At 46.7% G+C, this 14,607-nt stretch overlaps 1 pseudogene, besides 1 other annotated feature; it reads right to left on the bottom strand.

Annotated features, from left to right (window-relative positions):
* Positions 11,238-11,939, bottom strand: RPS8P4 (ribosomal protein S8 pseudogene 4; annotated as a pseudogene).
* Positions 13,245-13,468: a silencer, noted in NCBI's record as "fragment chr10:121396416-121396639 (GRCh37/hg19 assembly coordinates)". NCBI's record gives its function as "represses an EF-1alpha promoter that drives an FKBP-Casp9 reporter gene in an ReSE screen in HepG2 liver carcinoma cells {active_cell/tissue: HepG2}" and the evidence as "EXISTENCE:reporter gene assay evidence [ECO:0000049][PMID:32094911]".

The raw sequence follows: 14,607 nt of genomic DNA, 5'->3' as shown, positions 1-14,607 counted from the left end.
CTGATGAGGGCTTGCCACCATGGCTCATGCCTATAATGCCAGCACTTTGGAAAGTCAAGACTGGAGGACCTCTTGAGTCCAGGAGTTTGAGACCAGCCTGGACAACACAGTAAGACCCCCATCTCTGCATAAACAAAAAATAAGCCAGGTGCAGTGGCTTATGCCTGTAGTCCCAGCTACTCAGGAGGCTGAGGTGGGAGGCTCATTTGAGCCCAGGAGTTTGAAGCTGCCATGAGCTATGATTTTGCTCTTCATGCCAACCTAAGCGACAGAGCAAGACCCTATCTCTTTAAAAGAAAGAGAGAGAAAGAAAGAGAGAAATGATTGAGAGAAATGTAACATCAGGTTACATACTTCAGATTACTGTACAGTTGACCCTTAACATGGGTTTGAATTGAGCAGGTCCACTTGTACATGGATTTTTTTTCAATAAAAGTTACACCGATGTGCTTGCCTCTCCAGTCTCCCCTTCCACCTCCTCCACCTCTTCTGTCTCTGCCACCCCTTGACAGGAGAATCAACCCTTCCTCTTCCTTCCCCTCCTCAGCCTCCACGTGAAGATAATGAGGATGATGACGTTTATGATGATCACGTCCACTAAATGAGTAGTAAGTGTACTACTCTTCCTTATGTAAATGTAAAATCTCTTCCTTATGATTTTCTTAACATGTTCTTTTCTCTAGCTTACTTTATTGCACGAATACATATAATACATATACAACATATGTGTTAATTGACTGTTCATGTTATTGGCAAGGCTTTCCGTCAAGAGTAGGCTATTGGTAGTTTTGGGAGATTCAAAGTATGCAGGGGCGGGGCATGGTGGCTCACGCCTGTAATCCCAGCACTTTGGGAGGCCAAGCGGCGGATCACTTGAGATCAGAAATTTGAGACCAGCCTGGCCAACATGGTGAAACCCCAACTCTACTAAAAATACAAAAATTAGCTGGACGTGTGGCACATGCCTGTAATCCAGCTACTCGGGAGGCCGAGGCAGAACTGCTTGAACCCAGGAGGCGGAGGTTGCAGTGAGCCAAGATCATGCCACTGCACTCCAGCCTGGGCGACAGAGCCAGACTCCAGTTCAAAAACAAACAAACAAAAAAGTATGCAGGGATTTTCTTTTTTCCTTTCTTTTCTTATTTTATTTATTTTATTTATTTATTTTTTTGAGACAGGTTCTTGCTCTCTCTCCCAGACTGGAGTGCAGTGGGGCAATCTCAGCTCACTGTAACCTCTGCCTCCTGGGTTCAAGCGATTGTCCTGCCTCAGCCTCTTGAGTAGCTGGGATTACAGGTGTGCACCACCATGCCTGGCTAATTTTTGTATTTTTAGTAGAGACAGGGTTTTGCCATGTTGGCCAGGCTGGTCTCAAACTCCTGGTCTCAAGTGATCCACTCGTCTCCGTCTCCCAAAGTGCTGGGATTACAAGCATGAGCCACCTCGCCCAGCTTTGCAGGGATTTTCGACTGCACGGAGTTGGTGCCCCCAGCCACCTCCTGTCACTCCCCAACCCTCACCCCTCATTCGAAAGTAGCCTGTTTGGGAAATTAGACTATCACCTCTCCTGATTTCTCAGAAAGTCAGATAACAACTTGGTTTTGGTTTGGTGATGTGGAACTTTAGCATGAGTGACTCCTTTCTGATTTTTCGTCGGGTTTGTTAAGGCCAAATGCAGGAGCTTAGTCCAAAACAGTGACCTCTTATAACTTTTATTTAACAAACGTCAATGAGCACCCCAATTCCCCTGGGAAAGAGAGACTGTGTTCCAGAAAGAGAGAATGTTTGGGAGGTGACATTTTAGATCTTTAGACATACTGACTCATTCCCTTCCCCAGAAACGCTTTGAACTAATATTGGGCCTAGTTTTCAATTCGGAATCAGAGAATATCCTCGAACCCCAGTCAATACCTCTGCCCCTTCCTGCCCTCAGCTTACTCCTTCTGGAGAAAATGCCAGAGAGGCCTGCCTATCATTTCCAATGGAATGATTCTCACTTGTAAAAGTATGCTTATCCGCTTTGGAGTCCAGTAACTCCAGTGATGATCAGGCCCCAGGGACTGATGCAGGTCACCAAACATGTTAGAGACAGGTGTATAAACCCGAATGTCAGTGCACTAGTTTCCCATAGGAAATATTACTGTTGAAGGAACTAGACCCCCAAATTCACTAGTCAGTGTCTGCCTTATGCTTCCTTATGTCTGCAGCCCTGAACCCAGAGTCCATATTCAATAAATGTTGATGTTTATCGAAGATTGAATCCAGAGTGAAATTTTATTTCTATCTTCTTCCTTGCTCAATTTGCTTTCCACTACAGTTTAAGTAACTACAGTTTAAATAAACACAGAGGCTGGGTGTGGTGGTTCATGCCTGTAATCCCAGCACTTTGGGAGGCAGAGGTGGGGGGGATCACTTGAGGTCAGGAGTTTGAGACCAGCCTGGCCAACATAGTGAAACCCCGTCTCTACTAAAAATACAAAAATTAGTCGGGCATGATGGTGGGTGCCTGTAATCCCAGGTACTTGGGAGGCTGAGGCAGGAGAATCGCTGGAACCCGGGGAGCGGAGTTTGCAGTGAGCTGAGATCACGCCACTGCACTTCAGCCTGCGCAACAGAGGAAGACTCTGTCTCAATAAACAAACAAATACTGAAAGTGGTGTTGGCCATTTTTCCCCTGAAAGAAGCAGCAGGGAGGAAGCAGGTTACTCTGGGATTAACATAGCTGCTTCTGACAGTTGCTCTGGAGGCTAAAGCAGCTCCATCCTGGATGCTCATCTGCCATGTTCGTTTCTGATGAACCCGTTCCAGGAATGCCTCTAAGATTTCTATTTTCACATACTTACCCTTCGGTCAAAATAACGTTGGTGTTACTGTAAACACATACTTACTATAAATCCTGCCTGTGGCGAATTCCCTGTGGTATACAAGCCCTGGGACTTCAGGGTAACAGTGCAGGGACCCGCCATCTTGTCTTGCAGCCATCCAGGACATGGCTTGTGTTTGTAAGTCCCTATTAAGTGTTTCTCTCTGAGAAACTGGATTTGTCCACCTCTTTCTTCAGCTTCTCAGTTTCCTCAGCCTTTGAGGGTAGGTGTGCATAGACCTGCTCACCGCAGAAGAGTTATCCTCCGCTAGGGACTTCCGCAGGGTTTGTCTAAAACAGAGACACAAGTCTTGGAGAGCTGGCTGGAAGAAGCTGCTTTGAGCCACGTTGAATACTGAGCATCATGTCTGTCCTCGGTGGCTTTTTCTTTTCTCCAGGCCCTCAGACACTCCCTCTTTAGGCCTCCTGGAGTTCATCTGCCCAGATCAGAAGCTTAAGCATAACCCTAAATTTCTTTTGCCCCTCACCATTTAATTATCCTTTTTTTTTGAGACTTGCTCTGTCACCCAGGCTGGAGTGCAGTGGCGTGATCTCGGCTCACTGCAACTTCCGCCTCCCTGGCTCAGGCGATTCTCCTGCCTCAGCCTACCGAGTAGCTGGGATTATAGGCACCCGCCACCATGCCCAGCTAATTTTTGTATTTTTAGTAGAGACAGGGTTTCACCATGTTGGCCAGGCTGGTCTTGAACTCTTGACCTCAGGTGATCCTCCTGCCTTGGCCTCCCAAAATGCTGAGATTACAGATGTGAGCCACCGTGCCTGGCCCATTTAATTATCCTTAAATCTGTGGATTCCACTTCCTAGATATTCCTTGATTGTGAACTCCTGTCTGTCTTTAGTGCCACCAACCCGTCCAGGTTACCTTTGCCTGTCATCTGGATCTTGGCACGGCCTCCTGATGGATCTCCCAGACTCTAATCTTTGTGTGTGTGTGTGTGTATGTGTGTATGTGTGTGTGTCTGTGTGTGTGCGTAAGCAGTTGGTCACGTAAACCAGCCTCTAATCTTGTTCATCTCCAATTCGTTGCCCACATGGTAGCCAGAGCAATCTTTCAAGCACAAAACAGGCCTTGCCCCTTCTCTGCCTAGAATTCTTTAATGCCTCTCTGTTGACTCCACACTCCTTGGCTTGGTGTACACAAGACCTTCCTCCCCTCAGCCTGGTGTGCACTCTGGCTGGCCTTGCTGCACCATATCATGCAGGCACTGACACAGCCTGCCCTTGCCTCTGCCCACCCTGCTTCCTCCACCTGGAGAGCCCTTCTCTCCAACACCCAATGGCCTCCCGCTCTCTTTGCCTGGCTGACCCCCCTTCATCATCAGGTATTACCTGTGGCATCTCTCTTCTTCATCCTCCTGGTCTGAGTCATGTGTCCCTTCTATTATGGCAAAAACTGTGATTACTTTTGCACCAACCCAATAGGTGCTCTGCAGAAAGTAAAAAGTTTCCTCTTCGAAGCTTCCCTTCTTGTTAAAGAATAAATCATAAATGTTAAAAATAATAGTTTCTTTTAAAGACTAAACTTCCTTCAAGCCTCCTTGCTTTGTGCTAGTAACTCTTTGTTAAGCCTTGTCCTATGTAGCTGTTAGATATAAAAGAATAAGTACAGTTGGCCAGGCACGGTGGCTCACACCTGTAATCCTAGCACTTTGGGAGGCTGAGGCAGGTGGATCATGAGGTCAGAAGATCGAGACCATCCTGGCTAACACAGTGAAACCCCGTCTCTACTAAAAAAATACAAAAAAAAAAAAAAATTAGCTGGGCGTGGTGGCCGTCGCCTGTAGTCCCAGCTACTCGAGAGGCTGAGGCAGGAGAATGGCGTGAACCCGGGAGGCGGAGCTTGCAGTGCGCTGAGATCACACCACTGCACTCCACACTCCAGCCTGGGAGACAGAGCGAGACGCCGTCTCAAAAAAAAAAAAAAAGAATAAGTACAGTCTATGTCCTTGTACTTTAACCAAGATATTTGTACTAGACGTGCTCACAGGCACATTCCAGCTTGCAGCCTGTGCCCCTTCCTTATTTAAAAATATTATTACTTTTCTAAGTCCTTTCGCAAGCAACTTCCTCTTTTCCTTTGTTCTCTGTTGCTTTTACCTATTTAAGAAAGTTTTAAATTATTAGCAAGTCGGATTTAATTTAGACTGTGAGGTCCCGCTCCAGCCAATAGAGACAGGACACAGTAGCAGAGACAAACTGCATAAAGGATAAAAATTACTTCCCTTCTTTGTTCAAGTGTGCTCTTGCTATTGTTCCATCTGCAAGGAGCACCCTTTCTGCAGAAAGTAAAATTGCCTTGCTAAAAAAAATTTTTTGTCTAAATGCTAATTTTTCCTTGCCGTACCAAGGAACAAGCACTCTGTTTCTAAATAAACATTTTCCTTATAACATGCTCCCTTATACATCCCATGCCACCCTGTCAATTGCACTGAATTGCAATTGCTTGTCTGATGGTCTAATGTGTCCATGGATTGAGTTTCATGAGGGCAGGAGCAGACTTGTCAATCACCACTGGGTCCCCAGCCTCTAGCATGGTGCCTGACAGACAGTAGTTACTAAAGCAACAATAGTTGTAATGGCTACCATTTATTGAACATTTACTGCATGCCAGGTACTGTGTGAACGGCTTTGTGTGGATTACTGCATTTAATTTTTATGGGAGAAGCTGTGATGCGTGCTGCCCAGATCCACTTTCAGGGATGAGGGACTTATTCCACCTACTGTTGGGGATGCTGTAGGAAGCTGAATCTCAGCTACCTATGGGGACTGATGCAGCTGAAGAAAACTGCCTCGCCCAAGGTCACACGTCCCTCCAGGGACAACCTGCATCTAGTGACTGATTTATTGAGGGGCTTAGAGGCCCAGCCCCTTCGGTCCAACTCAGGATAGGGCTAACGGGCTACCCCGGCTCCAGAGCGCCCTCTGGGGTTGACTGCTGCTTTCTTTGGGACTGCATCACAGCTCAGCTTCTCCCTCTGCACAGTCCTGCTTCCTGTGTTGCTCCTAGGAGAATTCCGTAATAAAGTCCAGCTTGCTACCTCTCATAGTCAGCTTCCTGAGGAACCAAGCCTGGAACAATCCTCTCAGCAGCCTTCTGGGTAGGCGTTATTATGATTCTCCTTTTACAGATGAAGCAACTAAGGTTTGGAGACGTTAACACAAGGCTCTTGATTTGTGGAGGCGGGATTTGAATTGTGGCAATTGACGCCGGATCCCACGCTATTAACCAGGAGCTCAAACATAAGTGAATCAACGGCTTAGTCCCACTTGTCACCAAGGGAAAAAATGTAAAAAGCTAGAATTGAGAAACAACGTTTTGTGCGAATGATTTTTTCTCAATGCTGAGGAAACAGGAGCCGTAGCTGGCTGCTGTGGAAGATTATAAATCAGCCCTATTAATGCTGTGCCCAGGCCTGACTGACTCATAGCACAGGTCACAGACAGAGGACTCAAGCCCAGCTATAATGGTGAGTTTTAAATGAAAATGTCAACCACAAGATTTCAGCGTCTGGGTGATTTAATCCATTTCTATTGGAACACAAGAGCCAGCATAGGAGAACAGCCAGTTCTCCCTGATCGGTGCAAAATGCTGGTCATCCCAGGTCGTTTTTTTTGCTTTTGGGATGTTGTGAGAGATCGGCACGTGCAGCCATGCACACCTTCACTAGCCATGCCCTCTCAGGGGGCCCTTCCACTAGGGGCAGCCTAGATAAAAGGAGGCCAGGGCCATCTGGATGGAAGCCATGGCCTCTCTCTAATGTCCTGATGGTCGAGTGCACTGGGAGAGAAGGGCTACAGGCAGTAGGTATTAGCACTGAGGGGGATAGAAGACGTCCGGCCTGGTTATACTGTGCAGACTTCTATGATAAGCTCTATAAATACGCCCTGCTGGAGGTGGAAGGGGAAATCAATATGGCTTCGCTGCAGAGTTTCAGATTGCAGCACTAACTTTGCATCTGTTTGTTATTAAAAGTTAAAGTCTGTGCCTGCTTGAGCCCAGTCGCCCTGTGCTCTCTGACCTTGTGTGGCAGGTACATCCTGGGCCTTTAATCACAAACCATCCTGTTTAGCTATTTAACTGTCTACATTCTTCCCTGAAAGAATGGCAGGAACCATGGTACTGGGGACTCTAGCATCAAACGCTAACTATTTTTTACTTTTTAGTTTTTGAGGTGGAGTCTCGCTCTGTTGCCCAGGCTGAGTGCAGTGATGGGATCTCAGCTCACTGCAACCTCTGCCTCCTGAGTAGCTGGTATTATGGGTGTGTGGCACCACACTGGCTAATTTTTGTGTTTTTAGCAGAGATGGGGTTTCACCATGTTGGCCAGGCTAGTCTCGAACTGCCAACCTCAAGCAATCCACCTGCCTCTGCTTCCCGAAGTGTTGGAATTATGGGCAAGAGCCATTGCACTCAGCTATTTTTTTTCTTTTTTCTTTTTTTTTAATATCAGACACTGTCCTGATCTCATTTATCTACCCAGCAACTCTAGGAAGCACAGGCTTTTATTAAACCCATTGCATGGTTGAGGAAATAGGCTTGGAGATGTTGAATAACTTGCCTGAGCTCACATAGCTGACCAGCAGGTAAAACCAGGATTTGAAGCCAGGTCTGGCTGATTCTGCAACCTGTATTTAACCACAAGGCAAAACAGCCCTCCACCTCTTGCTGCTTCTCTTTTTTAGGTGAGTCCTAGCTGAGCAGCTGAACTGCATTGAATAGTATCACCACAAGTTCATATCTACCCACAATCTCAGAATGTGAGATGTGTTCATATCTACCCACAACCTCAGAATGTGAGATTACTTTGCAGATGCGATCAAATTGAGATGAGGTCATACTGGATTAGAGTGGGCCTTAATCCAATGACTGGTGTCCTCATAAGAAGAGGACACCAGTTCATAACCATAATCCCAGGACTTTGGGAGGCCAAGGCAGGCAGATCCCTGGAGTCCAGGAGTTTGAGACCAGCCTGGGCAACATGTCGAAACCCTGTCTCTACAAAATAAGCAAACGTTAGCTGGGCGTGGTGATGTGAGCCTGTAGTCCCAGCTACTTGGGAGGCTGAGGTGGGAGGATAGCTTGAGTCTGGGAGGCAGAGGTTGCAGTGGGCCAGTATCATGCCACTGCCTTCCAGCCTGGGTGACACAGTGAGACCTATGCCTCAAAAAAATAAAAATAAAAAGAGGGGCCAGGTGCGATGGCTCATGCCTGTAATCCCAGCACTTTGGTAGGCCAAGGCGGGCAGATCATTTGAGATCAGGAGTTCAAGACCAGCCTGACCAATATGGTGAAACTCGATCTCTACTAAAAATACAAAAAAATTAGCCAGGTGTGGTGGTGCACACCTGTAATCCCAGCTACTGGGGAGGCTGAGGCAGGAGAATCGCTTGAACCCTGGAGGTGCAGGTTGCAGTGAGCCTTGATCGCGCCACTGCACTCCAGCCTGGGTGACAGAGGAAGACTCTGTCTCAAAAATAAATAAATAAAAATAAGTAAATAAAAATAAAAGGAGGGAAATGTTGATACAGAGACACAGACATACAGGGAGAAGACCATGTGACAATGAAGGCAGAGATCAGAGCGATGCACCTGTAAGCCAAGGAGCACTGAGGATTGTCTGCAACCTCCAGAAGCTGGAAGAGGCAGGTAGGATTCTCGCCTAGAGTCTTCTAGAGAGAGCATGGCTCTGTCACCACCTTCATTCCTGACCTCTTCTTTAAGATCAGTTTTCAATTATATCACCCTGACTAAACATGAATGAATGGATAGCTTGTCAAGCCAAAAACCAATAAATAATGATACGAATGTAGGAGGGAAGTGAAAAATGTCTGGTTACCCATTTGTTTATTCACTCCAACAAGCATTTGATGCCAGTCTCTGGAATTACAATGATGAATGAAACAGGCTCAGCCTCTGTGCTCAGGAGTTAATGATTTTGTGGAGTCAAGAACCCTGTGAAGAGTTAAGTTACATTACAACGTGGTAAGTGCTATTGCAGAGATACAGATAAAATGCTGTGGGAGCCGAAAAGACAGAGCAACTAACTCAGCCTAGTGAATCTGGGAAGGCTTCCGGGAGACATTTGTGTTGAAAAAAGTTTTAAATCAATAATCAGTAGTATACACATGATACAGAACTCCAGGTGCCAAAGGAGACTGCATTAGTTCACTAGGGCTGTTGGGACAAAGTACCACAAACTAAGTGGCTTAGAACAACAGACATGCATTGTCTCAGGTCTGGACTGTAGAAGTCCAAGTCAAGGTGTCAGCAAGGTTGGAGCCTTCTAAGGGCTGCAAGGGAAAACTCTGTTCCATGCCTCTCACCTAGCTTCTAGTAGTTTGCTGGGCATCATGCTGATCTCTGCTTTCATTTTCACATGGCATTCTTCCTGTATGACTGCCTGGGTCCAAATTCCTCCCTTTTTTTTTTTTTTTGGGACAGAGTCTCGCGCTGTTGCCCAGGCTGGAGTGCAGTGGCATGATCTCGGCTCGCTGCAACCTCTGCCTCCTACGTTCAAGCAATTCTTGTGCCTCAGCCTCCCCAGTAGCTGGGATTACAGGCACCTGCCACCATGCCTGGCTAATTTTTGTATTTTTAGTAGAGACAGAATTTTGCCATATTGGCCAGGCTGGTCTCAAACCCCTGACCTCAGATGATCCCCCGCCTCGACCTCCAAAAGTGCTGGAATTAGAGGCATGAGCCACCACACCCGGCCGCCTCCTTTTCTTTTTTCTTTTTTATATAGAGATGGGGTCTCACTGTGTTGCCAAGGTTGGTTTTGAACTCCTAGGCTCAAGTGATTCTCCTGTCTCAGCCTCCCAAAGTGCTAAGATTACAGGCATGCGCCACTGCACCCAGCCTCAAATTCTCCCTTTTCAACAAGGACATTAGGGGCCCACCCTACTCCAGTATGACCTCATCTTAACTAATTACATCTGCAATGACACTATTTCCAAATACACTCACATTTTGAGGTCCTGAGGTAGGACTTCAACATATAACTTGGCGGGGGTGGGGGAGGTTCACAATTCAACCCATAACAGGTACTCGATGAAAAATAAACCTCCCGGCTAGTCTCAGTGGCTCACACTTGTAATCCCTGCACTTTGGGAGGCCGAGGTGGGCTGATTGCCTGAGGTCAGAAGTTCAAGACCAACCTGGCCAACATGGTGAAACCCCGTCTCTACTAAAAATACAAAAAAAAAAAAAACAAAAAAAAAACACAAAAAACTAGCCCAGCATGGTGGCACCTATAATCCCAGCTCATTGGGAGGCTGAGGCAGGAGAATCACTTGAACCCAGGAGGCGGAGGTTGCAGTCAGCCGAGATCATGCTACTGCACTCTAACTTGGGTCACAGAGCAAGACTCTGTCTCAAAAAAAAAAAAAAAGAAAAGAAAAGAAAAAGAAACTTCCCTTCCTCTATGCTCCCCAGCTTCCCAGTTCCCTGCTCTAGAGGCAACCAATGTCTCCAGCTTACTGGGTGTTTTTCCAGGGGGTCTCCCATTCATTTACCAACATATATGTGCACGTTCTTCCTACTCGTAAAATGATAGCCATGTGCACTGGCATTCACCTTCCTCTTTTTACTTAACAATGTTCCTGTGAAATTTTCCATATCACTCCACACAGAGCCTCTTTACTCCTTTAAGTGACTGTACAGTACTTCCTAATTTATTGAACTGGTCTCCTATTAATAGATATTTAGATAGTTTCCAATCTTCTGCTATTACAAACAATGCTGCATTGTGTGTGTGTGTGTGTGTGTATATATGTATATATATATATAGAGAGAGAGAGAGAGAGAGAGAGAGACAGAAAGAGAGAGAGAGATTGAGACAGAGACAGACAGACAGGGTCTCACTCTGTTACCCAGGCTGGAGTGCATGGCATGATCTCGGCTCACTGCAACCTCCACCTCCTGGGTTCAAGTGATTCTCCTGCCTCAGCCTCCCAAGTAGCTGGGATTACAGGCGTGCACCACCATGCCTGGCTTATTTTTTTGTATTTTTAGTAGAGATGGGATTTCACCATTGGCCAGGCTGGTCTCAAACTCCTGACCTCAAATGATCCACCTGCCTCAGCCTCCCAAAGTGCTGGGACTACAGGCATGAGCCACCGTGCCTGGCCTTCAGTGTATTTTCTTGTGCACAGGTCATTTTGCAAGAAAGTACGAGTAGGTCTATCAATACCTGGAAGTGGAAGTGCTCCATCATCAGGCCAATGCGTTTTAAAATTTAAGTTATTTTGCCAAATTTGTCTCCAAGGAGGTCAGGGAAGGTCAGCCTCGCACCAGTAGCGTTCAGAGTGCACGTTCCCCATGACTTTTTTTTTTTTTTTTTTTTTTTTTGCCACAGAACAATAGACACCTTTATTCCATGGGCAAAGACAGAAAGGATGAGGATTTATTTGCCTTTCCGGGCCTTGATTTTCCTAAGATAGAACTCCATCTCCTTGCCCCCTGGCACATAGACATGGGCTTGGCCACACTGTCCCAGCCTTGAAGCGACGCATGCAAGAAGCTTGCCCTGCTGGAACTGCTCCCCCAGGAGACGGCTGATTTTGGCATTCTTTTCCCTTTCATCGTATTTCTTCTGAATTTTTTTAGATCGTTTTTTGTTTAAAGTCTTTTCTTCCTCAGGAGTCAGTTTGGCTCCCTTCTTGCAGCCCAGGGGCAGCGCATAGTGGGACTCATACCACTGGTGGTACGGTGTGCTGTCAGTGAGCACGAAGCAGTTCTCCACCAGGGTCTTGGTACGGACCAGCTTGCTATTGGGCGCATCGTAGACAACATCAGTGATCCTTGTTTTGCGAGTACAACACTCTGAACCCCAGGAGAAATTCCCCATGTCCCGCCTCAGGGCACCGTATTTATTGTTACCTCCCCGCACACGGACTGTGTGGATGTGGTGGGGGCCAATCTTGGTGTTGGCAGCCAGGTGCCCCAACTCATACTTCCGCTTCTTGTCGTAGGGCTTTCTCTTGCTGCCAGTCTTGCGGCGCTTGTGCCAGTTGTCCTGAGAGATGCCCATCACTCGGCGCTGGCTGGAAAGAGGCCCCATGATCTTACCGGACCGTGTTAGCTAATGTTCTGATCTTTGCCAATCTGATATATTCCCCTTATGCTTTTAATTTGAATTTCTATTATGATGAGTGTAATTGAGCATCTTTTCTTTTTTTTCTTTTTTTTTTTTTTGAGACAGAGTTTTACTCTTGTTGCCCAGGCTGGAGTACAGTGCGATCTCGGCTCACTGTAACCTCCGCCTTGTGGTTTCAAGCGATTCTCCTGCCTCGGCCTCCCAAGTAGCTGGGATTACAGGCACCCACCACCACTCCTGGCTCATTTTTGTATTTTTACCAGAGACGGGGTTTCACCATGTTGGCCAGACTGGTCTTGAACTCCTGACCTCGTGATCCGCCCACCTCGGCCTCCCAAAGTGCTGGGATTACAGGCGTGAGCCACTGCACTTCGCCCCTGTTGAGCATCTTTTCATGTGTTCAGAGACATTTGGAATTCTCTTCTGCGAACAGTCTGAACCTATCCTTTGCCTGTTTCTCCACTGGGACTAAGGGATAATGAAAATGATTTTTACAGATGCAAAAGGGGTTAAACAAGAGCACCAGGTCGATGTGGGACCCATAACAATGGGGACTGGCATTGAAAAATGGCCTGAGGCATTCTACCTCTGGTCCAGTTGCTTGAGATTTCTGACTGAGGCCCCCCCCTCCCACTCTCGCCTAAGCAGCAGCCAGCTCTGGAACCAAGGGAAAGCCTGGAAATGAAATTGTAGGTTTAGAAATGAAAATTTGAGCTTGGAATGCAAATTGACTGAGAAACCACCAGGCCCCTCCTCTGAGCCTGGTTTATCTCCAGCCTCTGAGGCTGATTTAAGCTTGGTCGGGGATAGAAGGAAGTGAGAGGTAGGAGCTCGCTGCATGACTTAATAGGCTGAGAGGAAGATGAAGATTGAAACAGGTACACATGTCATAAAATGATGGTCAGAGACCAGTGTCAGGAATTTCTTCCAAGGCCACAATATTCTTCTGCCTTGTTCTTTTGTCTTTTCTTCACTGGCTAGGGCTGTGCTAAGTTAAAACCCAAATGGACAGTCATTTCTATCTAAATCCGTTACTGTCTTAGAAGGTGTGGGGCAGTGTTTTCAGGATGGAGAAAGAATCAGGGTTGTGCTTTGGGGATCTCTGCCACCATGTGAATTGCACTCTGAGGTTTAAGTAGGTACCGGTACATGTCTTCTATTGTTTCCAGAAGGTGCACAAAGTTGCTTCCAGAGAGCCTGTTAAATCTCATTCTTCTATTCTTATATGCTTCGAGATTTCTTTTTTTTTTTTTTTTTCGAGAAGGAGTCTTGCTCTGTTGCCCAGGCTGGAGTGCAGTGGCATGATCTCAGCTCATTGCAACCTCCGCTTCCTGAGTTCAAGCAATTCTTCTGCCTCAGCCTCCCAAGTAGCTGGGAGTACAGGCATGCACCACCACGCCTGGCTAATTTTTGTATTTTTAGTAGAGACGGGGTTTCGCCATGTTCGTCAGGCTGGTCTGACCTCATGATCCGCCTACCTCGGCCTCCCAGAGTGCTGGGATTACAGGCGTGAGCCACTGTGCCCAGCCCTCTTCAGGGATTTCTTGAACACCTCCTGACAATAATCCCTCAGCTAGGCTCCATGGAAGCTTTCAAAGACATGGAAGAGCTGATCCATGCCTTCTAAAATGGTAGACTCTAGTTGGGGAGTTAAGGCTTCTGTGATAGTTAATTTTATGTGTCCAGTTGGCCCCAGTACCTAGATGTTTAGTCAAACATTATACTGGATATTTCTGTGAAGACGTTTTCTGGATGGCATTAATTGACTTTTTTTTTTTTTGAAACAGGGTCTTGCTCTGTCATCCAGACTGGAGTGCAGTGGCATGATCTTGGCTCACTGCAACCTCTGCCTCCTGGGTTCGAGCGATCCTCCCACCTCAGCCTCTGAAGTAGCTGAGACTGCAGGCATGCGCCACCATGCCTGGCTAATTTTTTTTTTTTTTTTTTTGTAGTGACAGAGTTTTACTATGTTGGCCCAGGCTGGTCTCAAACTCCTGGGCTCAAGCCATCCACCTGCCTTGGCCTCCCAAAATGCTGGAATTACAGACATGAGCCACCGTGCCCAGCCCAAGATTGACATTTAAATCCGTGGTCTTTGATTCCAATGAAAGATTTATGAAGCGGGAAAAAGGTCTGTGGACTTTAAGTAAAGCAGATTGACCTCCATAGTATGGGTGTGCCTCATCCAATCAGTTGAAGGTCTTCAACAGAACAAAGACAAACCTCCCCAGGTAAGAAGTTCTGTCAGCAGACTGCCCCTGCCCCTTCCCTAAATCACTAGTTTGCCCACCTAACCTGCAGACTTTGGATTTGCACCTCCATAATCTTGTGAGTCAAGTCCTTACAATAGATCTCTCTCTATATTTACACATCCTGTTGGTTCTTTTTCTCTGGGAAACCCTGGCTAATATAACTCCTAACGAATTGCATTATCTTGGTGGTGCTATCTGACATTACCCGAAGGAAGCCTCCAATCAGACAGACCTTGAACAGGAACTAGAGATTTAAGCAAGATTCCAAAGCAAAGTCAAGTTTGACTATATGGAGGAAGAAGGAAGGGCCTTCTGGGTAGGGAAACACATTTGTAAGAGCAAACATATGGAGTTAGGCCCAAGCAGGAGACCA

The sequence above is a fragment of the Homo sapiens genome, chromosome 10, assembly GCF_000001405.40.
Source record: "Homo sapiens chromosome 10, GRCh38.p14 Primary Assembly".
Lineage (NCBI taxonomy): Eukaryota > Metazoa > Chordata > Mammalia > Primates > Hominidae > Homo > Homo sapiens.
Note: the sequence above shows the minus strand (reverse complement) of the source record. Positions and strands in the feature narration are given on the sequence as shown.